The 14,640-nt window shown below is 41.7% G+C and overlaps 2 protein-coding genes across 15 annotated transcripts in view, besides 1 other annotated feature; one reads left to right on the plus strand and one right to left on the minus strand.

The window, feature by feature from the left end:
• Positions 1–9,009, minus strand: part of FAM210A (family with sequence similarity 210 member A) — a 63,212-nt gene extending 54,203 nt beyond the window's left edge. For 2 of the 3 annotated variants that reach the window (NM_152352.4, NM_001098801.2), the window contains exon 1: positions 8,780–9,009. The gene's annotated coding sequence lies outside the window, so the exon portion shown is untranslated. Of the gene's footprint in view, positions 1–7,735 lie in introns of all 3 variants that reach the window. The other variant, XM_024451083.2, reaches the window with a different exon arrangement.
• Positions 8,187–9,112: an enhancer, noted in NCBI's record as "H3K27ac hESC enhancer chr18:13725735-13726660 (GRCh37/hg19 assembly coordinates)". NCBI's record gives its function as "activates a minimal SCP1, AML or CMV promoter by ChIP-STARR-seq in primed H9 embryonic stem cells {active_cell/tissue: H9 hESC(primed)}" and the evidence as "EXISTENCE:reporter gene assay evidence [ECO:0000049][PMID:30033119]".
• The window catches only part of RNMT (RNA guanine-7 methyltransferase), a 37,884-nt gene continuing 32,367 nt past the window's right edge, over positions 9,124–14,640 (plus strand). For 4 of the 12 annotated variants that reach the window (NR_165427.1, XM_011525749.3, NM_003799.3 and 1 more), the window contains exons 1-3: positions 9,124–9,180; positions 13,078–13,206; positions 13,927–14,385. Coding sequence is in view for 9 of the 12 variants with exons in the window: in XM_011525749.3 (XP_011524051.1) it covers positions 13,969–14,385 (417 nt within the window). In the remaining 3 variants the exon portion in view is untranslated. Of the gene's footprint in view, positions 9,317–13,077; positions 13,207–13,926; positions 14,386–14,640 lie in introns of all 12 variants that reach the window. The other 8 variants (XM_047437908.1, XM_047437907.1, XM_011525750.3 and 5 more) reach the window with 3 other exon arrangements.

Below are 14,640 nucleotides of genomic sequence, written 5' to 3' on the forward strand. Positions count from 1 at the left end.
CAGACTGTGAAAAGAAAGGAAAAATACAGAATGTTTAGAAATCTACTATCAAAAGTCTGCCAAAAAAATAAAGTACAGAGAAGTGAATAAGAGGAAGATACATTTTGAATTATGGATTAGAGAGCAAAAAGCATACTCCAGTGAGTCATTTGGTAACATAAAGGTTAATCAACTTGCATGAAAACTGCAAGGGCCCAATGCACCAGAATGTCAGGTTTAAAAAGCAGTCTAACAGGCTCGAGAAAAGACTTATGGTATAGTAGACTAAATGGTAGAAAAGATGGAAAGGACTTCATCTTAGCAGACTGGAGACAGAGTTTTCTGCTGGCCTCAAGGAAACAAGGTACCGTATGATGAACTGCCTACGGACAGGGCCGCATACGGGGAACAGCCTCTAGTCCCTGAGGGAAGCCACCAGTCAACAGGAAGAAGACAGCGCCCTCACTCATATAGGCACAAAAGATGAACTCTGCCTACAACCTCAATGAGTTTGCAAACAGATTCTTCCACAGTTGAACCTCCAGATGAGAATGCAGCCTGCTTGACACTTTGAGATGCTAAGCAGCAAACCAGCTAAGATGTGCCCATACTCCTGACCCAGAAAAACTGTGAGACAATAAACCTGTGTTGTTTTAAGTTGCTAAATGTGGGGGTAATTTGTTACACAGCAACAGAAAATACAAGCCTACTCTCCTTAAGAAACCTTCCCACTGCATGAGTAAGGATTATTTTTACCTTCTCAAAGTCTTTGTTACAGGGACTACAAAAATGGAAGGCCACACAGAACCTGAGTACAACTGTATAAAAGCAGCAACCTTAGGTTTAGTCATAGTTGTCTGCATTAGAACTACAGAATGTTAAGAGTTGGAAGGAAACTGAGAGGCCCCTTAGTATCATCCTTTATGTTTACAGATAAAGAATGCAAGGACATGTAATAGTTCATAACTTGTTCCTGATCACATAGCTGATTAAAGGCCAAAAAAAAAAGAAAAAAGAACTGCTAATCTAGTGAATTTCCCACATCTTCACAAATTGCTCATATGTATAAATTGTGTCTTTTCCCTGAAAATAAAGGATTGAGAGCCAAACTATATAAATTTCATTTCTATCTTCTATCATGAAAATCAGTTTTAACATAAATTTATTGTTACTAGTTAACTAAAACATGCTTAGCAATAGGAATTTACTTGATGAATAAGGACTATGTTTGTTAAACCAAAAAAAGACATATGAGAAATTATACATATATTTTACACCAAGTAAATCGCAATAGAACCTGTTTCAGCTTGGCTTTGGTGAAAAATACTAGTAACCTTCTCTGTGGGGTTAACTAGTTTTGTCAGTGTTTACTGTATCAAGCATATTTCAGAAAATGTCATTTGATCATCAGAGTACCAGAAGCCATTGTTGCAATAAAGAGCTCTTGTATTCTGGGTCCAATTTTAAAATATCTTTTTAAAAACTTGCATTTACAGTGATGAAGATGGCAAGAAAAGTAAAATAAAAATTTGCATTTAGAACTTGACATAGGTCTGCTTTATTTTATAAAGTGTGCCACACAAATAAAATTTTTCTTAACATTATATATGACATTCATTTGGCAAACACTACATTGCAAACCCATCACTGTTTATCTAATTCCTCTAATTTTAAGAAATGAGTCAAATTACAATGCAGCTTAACTAGAACAAGAATTGCAGTATTTCAGATAGCAAGGAAGAGTTACTATAATTCATGCTTACATTAAAAATCAAGAAATCCAAATAAAATACCACGTTTAATTCAATTTATCACGTCCAAGAAGTTACAAAGGCAATGTAGAAGAAGTAAGTAAAAATGGGGAAGCCCTAATTTTTAAGTCTGCCTTGAAAACAATTTTTTCTTATCAATGAGACTTTCTAATAGGACTCATCTTGCCATTGGCACCCACAAAATCTAACCACCCACCTCCACTTCTCCGGGAGGATCCCTTCCTAATGTCTGATGCCTCTTCCCTCACCTCCATTCTTTGCCCACTGCTGCACATGCTTAAAGCCCAGCCACCCTTTCACCCACAGAGGTCATAGACCACTGCTACTATGGTTAATTCTCAGAAGTAATAAACTCAGAACCTGAAAGCACATAATGCCTACAAGACTGTTCACTATTTCAAACTTCTGCTCTGGTTTACATGAATTAAAAAAAAAAAAAATCACTCTATTTTTTCTGCTGTACCAAGGCAAAAAAATTCTACAATCACATTTAAAGGCATGGACTAATGACTTCACAAGACATTGCAGTAGCAGTTTCAGTTGTGTTAAGAGAAGCTAAAAATTAGCAGGTTCTGTGCTAAGCACTGTATCATCTCATTTATTCTATAAAATCGCTCCATGAGGAAATCAAAACACAAAGTTTGGCCACTTACTCAAGGATGACATGCTTAGTAAATATAACATAACCAGGATTTGAACACATGCCATCTGCTTGTGCTCTTAACTGCTGAAATATTCTAGTCATTTTTCTAGTCAGGTTGCATAACTTGGTGGCCCACGGTTAAGCGTAGAGTTTCTATTAAGCCCAGTAGCAAGCCCAAAAGCTGTTTCTTAAAAGAGCAGTTACCTGCAAAGGATGGAAAGGCTTTGCTCCAAAATCCTAAGGTTCTACACTGTATCTCCTATAGGGCCTGCAAAAGGTTCCTAACAGCATTTCAATCTGCCACTGACATTTCAAGCACCAGAAGATCTGCTGGGTCATATGGCCTGAGTGGCAGAGCAGTTTGCACAGCAGCCTGTACCTGTTGTAGAGGCGCCTTTTGTTCTGGGATCCACTCAAAACTAGCAGTATTTTAGGTCACTCAGTAAACAACCTGAAGTAGCACACCCAAATGAGGAATTTGTCATCTCCAAAATCCAAAGAGGCCCACTAAACCTTGCTTCTCTTTTTGTTATAGGTGGGAACATGCCCTACACTACTCCAGTGGACCCCTAGAAATTTCACAGGTGGAAGGCCCCTGAATATTTGTTGGATTTCCCACCCTCTGACATGCAAATGTCATACCAGTAAGTCTAGAGTAGTTGTTTCTTCTTGCCCACCAGGTCCAATCAGCATAATGTCATCAATGTGATGGGCCAGTATGATGTTTTGTGGAAGGGAAGCACAATCAGGGTCTCTATTTGTTTGCTACAGCTGCTGTAATAGAGAACCACAAACTGAGGAGCTTACAAAACAGAAATGTACTGTCTCCAGCTCTGGGGTTAGAAGTCCAAGATCAAGGTGTCAGTAGGGTTTGTTCCTTCAAAGGGGGTGAAGAAGAATCTGTTTCATGCCTACCCCCTTGCTCCTGATGGTTTGCTGGAAATGTGTGACATTTCTTGGTGTTCCTCTACTTCAGTTTCATATGGCATTCTCCCTGTGTGAATGTCTGTGTTCAAATTCCTCCTGTTTATAAGGACACCAGTTGTGTTGGATTAGGGGCCCAGCCTACTCCAGTATGACCTCATCTTATCTAATTACATTTTTAACTACCCTATTCCCAAATAAGGTCATACCCTGAGGTACTAAGGGCTAGGAATCCAATACATAAATTTTTAGAAGACACAATTCAACTCATAACAAGATCACAGAGATCTTGTTATGACATAGTGTTGGAAAGTTGACATTCCCGAGGTAGGACAGTGAAGGTGTATTTTTGGCTTTGTTAGTTGAAAGAAAACTGCTTTTGGTGATCTTTACTAACAGATACTAAGACAAAGCACTCAGCAGATCAATAACTGCATGCCAGTTACTAGGGGATAGGTTCTCAAGTAATGAAATGACATCTGGAACAGCAGCTGCAATTAGTCACTACTCAGTTAAGTTTATGATAATCCACTGTCATTTTCCAAGATCAATCTGTTTTCTGCACAGGCCAAACAGGAGGGTTGAATGCGAATATGTCAGGAATCATCACCCCTGCATCCTTAAGTGCACTCATCTCTGCAATTCCTCCTGGAATGCGGTATTGCTTTTGGCTTACTATTATTCCAGGAAGAGGCAGCTCTAGTGGCTTCTACTTGGCCTTTCCTACCACGATCGCCCTCACTCCACAAGTCGGGGAACCAGTGTGGGGATTCTGCCAGTTGCTGAGTATGTCTATACCAGTTATGCATCCTGGAACTGGCAAAGTAACCATAGGATGAATATGGGGACCCACTGTGAGGAGAACCTGGGTTAAACTTCCATTGACCACCTAACCTCAACAAGTCCCTACTCTGAATGGCGGGCCAAAATGACACTTTGAGTGTCCTGGAATTAGTGTCAGTTCAGACTTAAGAGTTCAGTAATCTGTGAGAAGTCTAATTATTTCCTCTTCTCCAGTGCACACTTACCCTGATAAGCCATAGGTCCCTTTGGGAAACCTGAGAAAAAAATTAACGGTATAAATTCTTAGCAGCGCAATGGGGTCCTTCCTCAAAAGGATCCAGCCTCCCCTCAGTCAGGGGGTTCTGAGTCTGTAAAATGACTCAAATCTGGGAACTGATTGAGGGACCATGACTCTTTCTTTGGTAATTAAAGTAAAGCTTCCATTCACTTGACCTAGAACTCTTCTGCTTATAGAGATCAAGTCAGAATTCAGTAGACTGCCCAACGAGTTCTCTTCTAGGGACACCATGACCACCTACCCAATTAGGACCCCCAAGTCAGGCTGTTCAGATTGTTGCTTTGACTCCGCTGTCCCCCATGATGGCAACACACCTACTTACTCTTTGGTGATCACATAGCCCCTGCCATCCTAGATCCAACCATCCCTGCTGCAGCTAAGGACCCCCAGTCAGTGGCAACAGCTCCCACTGCAATCTCTGACCTGAAGAGAAAAGCAACCCCAGAGCTCTTCACGGATTCCTGAGGAAAACCGGCAATGTCTTGCAAGGTAACTACCTCAAGGGAGGTCATTACAGGTTCTTCAGGCAAAGCAGAGTTAACCTCCTCAGAGGTGGAAGAACTGCTTCTACTGGCAAAAAAGAGTGAGTCAAATTTAGGAGTTTAACATCCCCAGCTTCATCAGGATGTTCCCATATGGCCCTATTCCAAATGTGCAGATCCCATTCCTTCCCAATCAATGCCCTCATTTTAATAGCAGACCAAGGTGAGAAGGGAATTCAGTTAGCACTGTAATTCAGCCACCTACAGGATAAGACTCTGGATTTGGTTTTCACCAACCTCAGCTCTGTAGCTACAAGAGATACGGGTTTCTTTAGGGCAGACACAGAAACTTTTCAGGTCACTTATGTGGAGCTTCAATCGGGAATTTGAAGCCTTAAGCTCCCCTTTTCTTTCCTTTCTTTTTTTTTTTTTTGAGACAGTCTCACTCTGTCACTCAGGTTGGAGTGCAGTGGTGCAATCTCGGCTCACTGCAACCTCCGCCTCCTGGGTTCAAGCGATTCTCCTGCCTCAGCCTCCTGAGTAGCTGGGATCATCCTTTTCTTTTCTCACTTTACCCAGTACAGTTAAAAGCAACCAGCCTATCTTATTGTACTCATTAATTCGATTAAAATGTTCTAAGGTATCAAATACCTGATCATTCTGAATCTTGTCTATAAGCATGAGTGGGAGTATCTAATAGTGATCTTTTGCATATCTTTGTTGCCATATCACACCAGGGACTATCAGTGCCCTCTTTTCTACAGGGAATACTCATTACTGCCTTTGAATCTGATCAGTTTGGAAAACCAATTCCAGAAACACTATAATCAATTCAGAAAACTCATCCTTAAGATTCTGCTCACTAGAAGCACTCTCAGCACCCAAATTTGAATCAGTCAGGGCTCTACAGAGATACAGAACTGATAGGAAAAAATATATAGATGTAGATAAAAACATAAATATCTTCATCTACATATAGACAGATACAGAGATATTGGTATTTTAAGGAACTGGCTCACACAACTGTAGGGGATAGCAACTTCAAAATGTGTAGGGTAGATCTACAGACAGGAAACTTAGGCAGGAATTGATGCTGCAGTCTTGAGGAAAATACTGTCTTCTTCAGGACACTTCAGTTTTGGCTTTTTTAGCCTTCAATTGATTGAATGAGGTCCACCCACATTATTTAGGGTAATATCCTTTAGTTTAGGTCAACTGATTATAGATGTTAACCACGTCTTCAGAATACCATCATAGCATCAACCAAACTAGTATCTGATTAAATAACTAGGTATTATAGCCTAGCTAAGCTGACATAATAAAACTAATCATCACACACAGTATTACTCAACAAAATCTTATTTTCAACTGAAGGAAAAACCTTTTAAACAATAATATTTTATTTGTTCCAGAAAGACAATGAAATTTCAGTAGGAACACTTTCCTGAGTGGAACAGAGGAAAAGTCCTTCATCCAAAACTATTTGGAGGAACAAAGCTTCCATGAACCACCTCTCTTCACAGAACACTATCTTAGGAAACTATAACATTGTTTCTACATTTTTAAAACAATCTCTATGTTTCAAAAATATGATCTTCAACTCTACAACAGAAATCACACTTTAAAATTATACCTCTGAGAGAAGTACTCTCACTTTCTTACAAATGGGTTGAAATAAATCCTGCAGGTCCTTTCCTTGTCTTGGTGGAGCTCACATTCCAGCAAGATAACATCCTTATCTAACTATTTTCTCTCGGGACATCATAACCCAGGCATTAAGAAGTATCAAAACACTTTCTGAAAAATCTACTATTTGCTAGGCAACGTCCAGTTCTGAGTATGATCTTCTAGCCAGCACTGTTTCATTATTAGCAGAGTCTGGTCAATCAGCCAGACTGCCTGGGTCCAAATCTTGATCCCACTACTTAACAAGCTGCATGATCTTGGCCAAGTTACTTAACCCTCATCTGTAAAACAAACACTCATAACTATACCACTGGGTTCGGTTAGAATTAAACGAGTGCAAATGAATAAAGCACTAACCTTGGCACCTAAAAGGTACTCGAGTATTAGCTATTATTATTTTAATGTCCAGAAAACCAGAGATTACTCAGGCAATAATGAGGGAAAAATAACACCAATGGTAACTTTAAAATCATTTTTATCTGGCTCATTTACTTACATTAACTGCTTTCAAGAATCCTTCCCCTCTATTCTCAAATGAATTTACACAACTTCTAGTTAAGTTTTATAAAAACTGAAAAATGTAATCTCTATATATCCCATCATCGTGGAGTTTTCATAAACACATAGTTAAGAGGCTTTTAATCTAATAACTTTTTTTGTTTTGTTTAGTTTTTTTTGAGACAGTCTCGCTCTGTCGCCCAGGCTAGAGTGCAACGGCGCAATCTCGGCTCACTGCAACCTCCGCCTTCCGGGTTTAAGCGATTCTCCTGCCTCAGCCTCCTGAGTAGCTGGGATTACAGGCACGCGCCACCACGCCTGGCTAATTTTTGTATTTTTAGTAGAGACGGGGTTTCACCATGTTGGCCAGGCTGGTCTCAAACTCCTGACCTCGTGATCCAACCGCCTCGGCCTCCCAACGGCTGGGATTACAGAAGTGAGCCACTGCACCCGGTGTTTAAAAACATTAAAACATGTTTTTAAAAGTCAAAATTACACTCATTTTCTGTAAAATTACAACAGCAATTATCTCAAGAAACTTAAGCATCAGGAACAGGGAATGTAATTGCCTGGTTCTAATGCTTGTATATGCCTATAATGCATTCGATCTGTAAGACCTACACTTTTGCAGTTGTCAATATTCATGTAATGAGATTAATTCTCAACTTACCTCATTTCATATAATAACAAATACAAGCAGTCATCAGAAATTGATGGGTCATCCTTATTTGTGAAAAATAGGCCTCATTCTTGGTTCAAAGTTTGTAACCTCAAATGGGCTAATGCCCACAATTTAGAAGTGATTAGATTGGAAAGCACAACGCTGCAAATGCTGCCTTCCCCAAAGCCAGGTCTATTCATTAATATACCTGTGCCTACTGACAAGAAGGAAGGCTGGTAAAGCACATTTTCAAAGCTGTTTTAAATGGATCAATTTTGGTAAAGAGTAATTCAAGACGGATTGTAAATCTGATCAGTTTTACAACCTTGGAAGGTGGGGACTTGACGCACGACGTTAATATGCACACGCTTCAATAATCTATCCACAGGTAGTTTTGACCCTGATCTCAGGTTGAAAGTCCTCAACTATGGAGCTTTCGAGTTTCAGTACAGTAGGCGCTTTCACTCCCCAGTAGAAATCTGGGGTGATGGCCAAAAAAAGTGTGTTGTCTCCCCCAAACCACACCATGCCAAGTTCAGCCAACGCAGACTAATGCATCCTTAGGTATTTGTCAAGAAGAGGTATAGGCGGTCCCTTTTCTCAGAATCTAACAGGTAAGAATGGCCTCTTGTGGCTTCCCAAACACGGCGGTAAGGACCAGTCTGCCAGTCCCTAATAAGAAATTGCTAATTTTAAAAACCATTCCGAACGCGGGCGCTTCCGGGCCCCTCTTCAACTGGCTTCGGAAGAAGGGGGGAGAACACGGTGAAGGGTTACAGCAAAGGAGGCTGAAAAACAGTCCCAAAGCAAGATTTGCCAGGACACTGGCTCGACCCGGAAGGGCGGGGGGACCTCTCTCGGCCGCCGGGGTCTGTGGGGTCGGCGAGTGTGGACGACCCGTCTGGCAGTCGTACACTGCCACAGCCCGAAGAGCGGCGCACGCGGAGCAGTTGCCGGGTTCGCGCCGCGAGTCAGCTCCCGGACACACGCCCAGGGTTGAAGGTGCCCTCTAGACCCCTCCCGCTGCCCCACAGAGGCCTGGGCCCATGCTACCTCTTAGGACGCTGGAGCCGCCGCCGCCGCTTCCCGCCGCGCAGGCTGGACCACAGCTCCTCGGATGCCACGGCGGTGTCACTCAGCAGAGCAGCCCGACAAAGCGTGGGTCCGCGTGCAGGAACCCGCCGGGCTCAGCCGGACGCTAGCCCCCTGCCGCCCCCGGCCCCGCCAGCCGCGCCCACTAGCAACGTGCTCGCGACCTCCAGTGCCCGCTCAGTGAAGCTTCTGCATGCCGCGCGCGGCACGTCGGGACTCGTAGTTCCGGCGCGGAGGACGTGCGTCGCGGCACTCTCGCCTGACCGTCTCCACGTGACTCTCGCACCTCCGGAAGTGACGTAAGCAGACACGCGTGGCGCGGGCCGCCGTTTCCGCAAACAGAATCGCGTTTGGCTGTGCTGGTGAGTGTGACGGCTGGAACTCCGGCCCTTCCTTTCTTTGTGTTTGTCCCTCGGCCGCCGTGGAGGGGTGGAACTGGCACTCCCACCCCTGACATGGGCTCACTTCGCATTAGCCCTGTGCTTCACTACCCAACGCGTGGGTCTATTGCCTTGTGTCCTCAGTCCCAAGGAAAATGGGAACTCCTTGGGGTGGGCGGGCGCTGTTCCTCCTCCAGACTGGGCGAGCCCGGGTGGGAGAAGCAGCTCGAAGAGCTGCTCCAGCTCGCGCCCCAGGGCCGTGCTGGGGAGGGGCGTGGGGTCCGCAGGTTTGTCTTCAGCGGCGCTTCGGAAACCTGAACCAGAGGTTGAGTAACAGGCCGCGCTAATGACGGAGGGGGTGAACTTGGCTGGAGAAGTCCCTTCTCGCCTCTGTGCGTCCTCTCGGGCCCCGTGGTAGAGGGTCAAGCGGGCGGGTCGGGACTTAGAGCTTATCCCGCTTGGGCTTTATCCCGGCGGCCCTGGCGGCCTGCTCGCTCGTACCCTGAGGAGCTGAAATGACGCAGAGACATAGCTTGCTTCGGAGGTGTGACTGGAAAGCCGGGTCGAAATGTTCGTGTGGTTATTTATCGCGTGTCCATCTCCATGTCAGTCGACCACCTTTCGAAGGTTTCTTGAAGATTCTGAGGGACAGCTCTCTTCCCTATGGAGTGTTTTCATTATTCCACTTTGAGTTTGGTTTGGGTTTTTTTTCCCCCAATTTGTTAAATTGATACATAGAAGTTGCACATATTTGCAGGTGCAGGTGATACTTTGATACATGCATACAATGTGTAACGACTAAATCAGGGCAATTGGGATATTTGTCATCTCAAACATTTATCTTTATGTTGGGAACATTCCAATTTTTCTTTTAGCTATTTTGAACTACACAATAAGTTATTGTTAACTGTGTCCACCCCACTGTACTATCAGGCACTAGATTTTATTTCTTCTGGGGTTTTTTGTACCCATTAACCAATTTCTCTTCTTCATCCCGCTCCTCTTCCTGCTACCCTTCCCAGTCTGTGGTAACCACCAATCCACTCTTTACCTCCATCAGGTCCACATTTTTAGCTCCCACATGAGTAACAACATGATATTGTCTTCATGTGCCTGGCTTATTTCAGTTAACATAATGACATCCGGTTTCATCCATGTTGTTGCAAATGACAGGATTTCATTCTTTTTAATGACTAATATTCCATTGTGTATATATGCTACATTATCTTTATTCATCTGTTGATGAACGCTTAGGTTGATTCCATATCTTGACTATTGTGAATAAACTTGAGACTGCAGATATTTCTTAGATATACTGATTTCCCTTCTTTTGGATCTGTACCCAGATTTGCAAAACTGTTCATCGGACAGGGGATTAACAACCAGAATATAGAAGAAACTCATCTCAATAGCACTAGTTCTATTTTTTGTTTTTTGAAGAACCTCCATCATACTTTTCCCAGTATGTAAATTAGTGGCTGTGCTAATTTACGTTCTCCCTAACAGTGTACAAGTGTTCCCCCTTTTCTGCATCCTGCATCCTCATCAGCATCTTTTTTTTTTTTTTTTTTTTTTTTTTTTTTTGTGTGTGTGTGTGTGTGTGTGTGTGACGGAGCCTTGCTCTGTCGCCCAGGCCGGAGTGCAGTGGCTTGATCTCAGCTCACTGCAACCTCCACCTCCCGGGTTCAAGCGATTCTCATGCCTCAGCCTCCCGAGTAGCTGGGATTACAGGCGCACATCACCATGCCCGGCTGATTTTTGTGTTTTTGGTAGAGACGGGGTTTCACTATGTTGGCCAGGCTGGTCTAGAACTCCTGACCTCAAGTGATCTGCCCACCTCCACCTCCCAAAGTGCTGGGATTACAGGTGTGAGCCACCGTGACGGCCTCAGCATCCATTTTTTAAAAATCTTTTTGATAAAAGCCGTTTTAACCGAGATGAGATGGTATCTCATTGTGGTTTTGACTTGCATTTCCCTGATATTACTGATATTGAGCATTTTTTACGTATATACCTGTTGGCCATTTGTGTGTCTTTTAAGAAATGTCTATTCAGATCTTTTGCCCATTTGTAGTAGGATTGCTTCTTTTTTTTTGCTATTGAGTTGAGTTTCTTCTGTATTCCGGTTGTGAATCCCGTCAGATGAATGGTTTTGCAGATATTTTCTCCCATTCTCTAGGTTATCTCTTCACTCTTGTTTCCTTTGCTGTGCAGAAGTTTTTTAGCTTGATGTAATCCCATTTGTCTGTTTTTGCTTTTGTTGCCTGTGCTTTTGAGGTCTTACCACAAAAATCTTTGCCCAGACCAGTGTCTTGAAGCATTTCCACAATGTTTTCTTCAAGTAGTTTCATACTTTTGGGTATTAAATTTTTCAGTCCATTTTGATTTGATTTTTGCATATGGTGAGAGAGAGTGGTCTAGATTTCCCAGCACCGTTTTTTGAAGAGACTGTCTTTTCACTATGTACGTTCTTGGCACCTTTGTTGAGAACAAGTTGGCTGTAAACATGATGCTTGGTTTTAAACGTTCTTACTTATTTTTGTGGTCATCTGGAATGCTGTGTCATTTCTTCTGACCTAATTATGTTTTTATTATGTCACATCTGTGATATCATGAAAGTGACATAAGTAAAATTCATGCTTAAATCTCAATATTAATTTTAGGTAATAAATATAGCTAAAGATAAGTCACATTTCTTTATTTGAATTTAAAGCCAATTTCCATTAGGAAATCAATGGCAGAGGAGGAGAAATAGGAATTTGATAAGTTGGTATCCAGTTTTTCTAGATAATCATTTTAAGTATTTGTTCTGAAAATCACTTTTCTGATTTGTTGTTGTTGTTCTCTGATTCAGTTCTATTTGGTACTTCTTGGTATTTTGTTACCTCAAATGGTGGGTCATGAAAACTAATAACCATTGAAACCCTTACCCATTCATAGTGAGTGACTTGTTACCCATTCCTTTAAGCAACTTGATTTCTTATTCTTTTTCATTATCCAAAAGGCTTTTTATTTATTTACTTTTTTTTTTAAGCACAAACACTTCCTTCATGAAAAAGCTTTTTTTTTTTAAGTGGGGTCTCACTTTGTTGTCTAGGCTGGAGTACAGTGGCACAATCATGGCTCACTGCAGCCTGGACCTCCTGGGCTCAGGTGATCCTCCTACTTCAGCCTGCTGAGTAACTGGGACTAAGGCATGTGCCACCATGCCCAGCTATTTTTTGTAGAGACGGGATTTTGCCATGTTGCCCAACCTGGTCTCGAACTCCAGAGCTCAAGCAGTCTGCCCACCTCGTTCCCCCAAAGTGGTGGGATTACAGGTGTGAGCCACTGTGCCCAGCGAAAGCTTAACATTTTAATAGTGGTATATAAGCTATAAACATCTTGAAAACATGATTTACATTGAGCTTCTCCATAGTAGGAGGTCACTAAATTTGTTGAATGGCTTAATAAATGAACCACCATAATTCTTGCCCAATAGATAGTTCAGTTATTTCTCTCGCTTTCCCATCTTAATGTAGGTCTAAAAACATATTTGAAAGAGACTTAATGGTCATCAAACTGCAGGCTGAGTCCTGAAACTTGTCTAAAGCCATTTCTACTCTCTTCACTTTCTACCTAATTGGAACACCCATTATGAAATACGATTTCAGAATTCTTGCTGTAGAATCCCAAACTTTTTCTGTTCTTGATGCCCTTAGTGTCCATAGGCCAAAAGAAATATAACAGTTCCATTTATTAAGTAGTTTACCCCAAAGAATTTAAAAGTATTTATGGTCTAACAACTTTATGTCTGTTTAAAAAATTAACACACATAAATTGGGGGGAAAGGTAATGTTTCTGTTTTATTCTTGATTAATCACAATCCCTTACTAACAGGATGTGTGAACCTATTGGGTACTGTACAACTTCAAGCCTCGAAATCAGATAGGCACCACCAACCTCATTTCCTGTTTCACCTTGATTTTCTGTGATACCAAAATCTCAGCTTCACAAAGTCATTGAAAGGTATGTAGTGTAATCTATTCAGCTGGAACTGTGCTGTACTTAAAGCTGGTAGTTTCTGTGATATCTTCCACATTAGGTTCTGTGGTGCCTGTTTGTTATGGTGCCAACCATGCAGTTTGGGAACCAGGGTTATAGAGTAAGGATCAGAACCAAAATGGAACTAGTGCATGTGTATCGCCACTTCATTTGTCAGCTTTAATGCCAACAGTGACTTTTATGAATAAGATTATAGAATTTTGGGGGGATTATAATTAGTACTGCCATATTCAGAAATTCATACATAGTATCAGTTAACATTTTTTAATATGCTCTCTACAATGAGATTTTTTTAAACTCCTAGTTGATCAAATTCTAGTTAAAATTATTTTAGGCCAGGCGCAGTGGCTTACGCCTGTAATCCCAGCACTTTGGGAGGCCAAGGCAGGCGGATCACCTGGGGTCAGGAGTTAGAGACCAGCCTGCCCAACGTGGGGAAATCGCGTCTCAGCTAAACATACAAAAAATTAGCCAGGCGTGGTGGCAGGTGCCTGTAATCCCAGCTACTGGGGAGGCTGAGGCGGGAGAATCACTTGAACCCCAGAGGCGGAGCTTGCAGTGAGCCGAGATCATGCCATTGCACTCCAGCCTGGGCGACAAGAGTGAAACTCCGTCTCAAAAAAAAAAAAAATTGTTTTAAAGTCTTAGTGTTTACAAGTAATACCAATTTTTTTCCTATTCTAGTGTTGGTTCATGAAGTTTTACCATCAATTCAAGTAATCATAAATGGCAAATTCTGCAAAAGCAGAAGAATATGAAAAGATGTCTCTTGAACAGGCAAAAGCGTCAGTGAATTCTGAAACAGAGTCTTCATTCAATATTAATGAAAACACAACAGCTTCTGGGACTGGGCTTTCTGAAAAGACTTCTGTCTGTAGGCAAGTAGACATAGCAAGAAAGAGAAAAGAGTTTGAAGATGATCTTGTAAAGGAAAGTTCTAGTTGTGGGAAAGACACTCCATCCAAGAAGAGAAAACTTGATCCTGAAATTGTCCCAGAGGAAAAAGATTGTGGTGATGCTGAAGGCAATTCAAAGAAAAGAAAAAGAGAAACTGAGGATGTTCCAAAAGATAAATCTTCTACTGGAGATGGCACTCAAAATAAGAGAAAAATAGCACTTGAGGATGTTCCTGAAAAGCAGAAAGTATGTTCAGTGTATTTTCATTTATTCATAATAGAATATGTAAGTTTGAAATGTGGAACACCCGTGGATTCATACTGGTTTTTACATAATAGCTTAAGAATGTTCTATTTTTAATAGATATGGTCCTAAGACAAAGTAGGCTTTTAACTCTTATGATTTCTGTTAAGGTGAAACATCTCCTGCTAATGAGATAGATTTTTTAGTTTTTGTTTGTTTTTATTTTCTAATGAGATAATGTTTATCTTATTTTAGAAT

This window comes from Homo sapiens, chromosome 18, assembly GCF_000001405.40.
Source record: "Homo sapiens chromosome 18, GRCh38.p14 Primary Assembly".
NCBI lineage: Eukaryota > Metazoa > Chordata > Mammalia > Primates > Hominidae > Homo > Homo sapiens.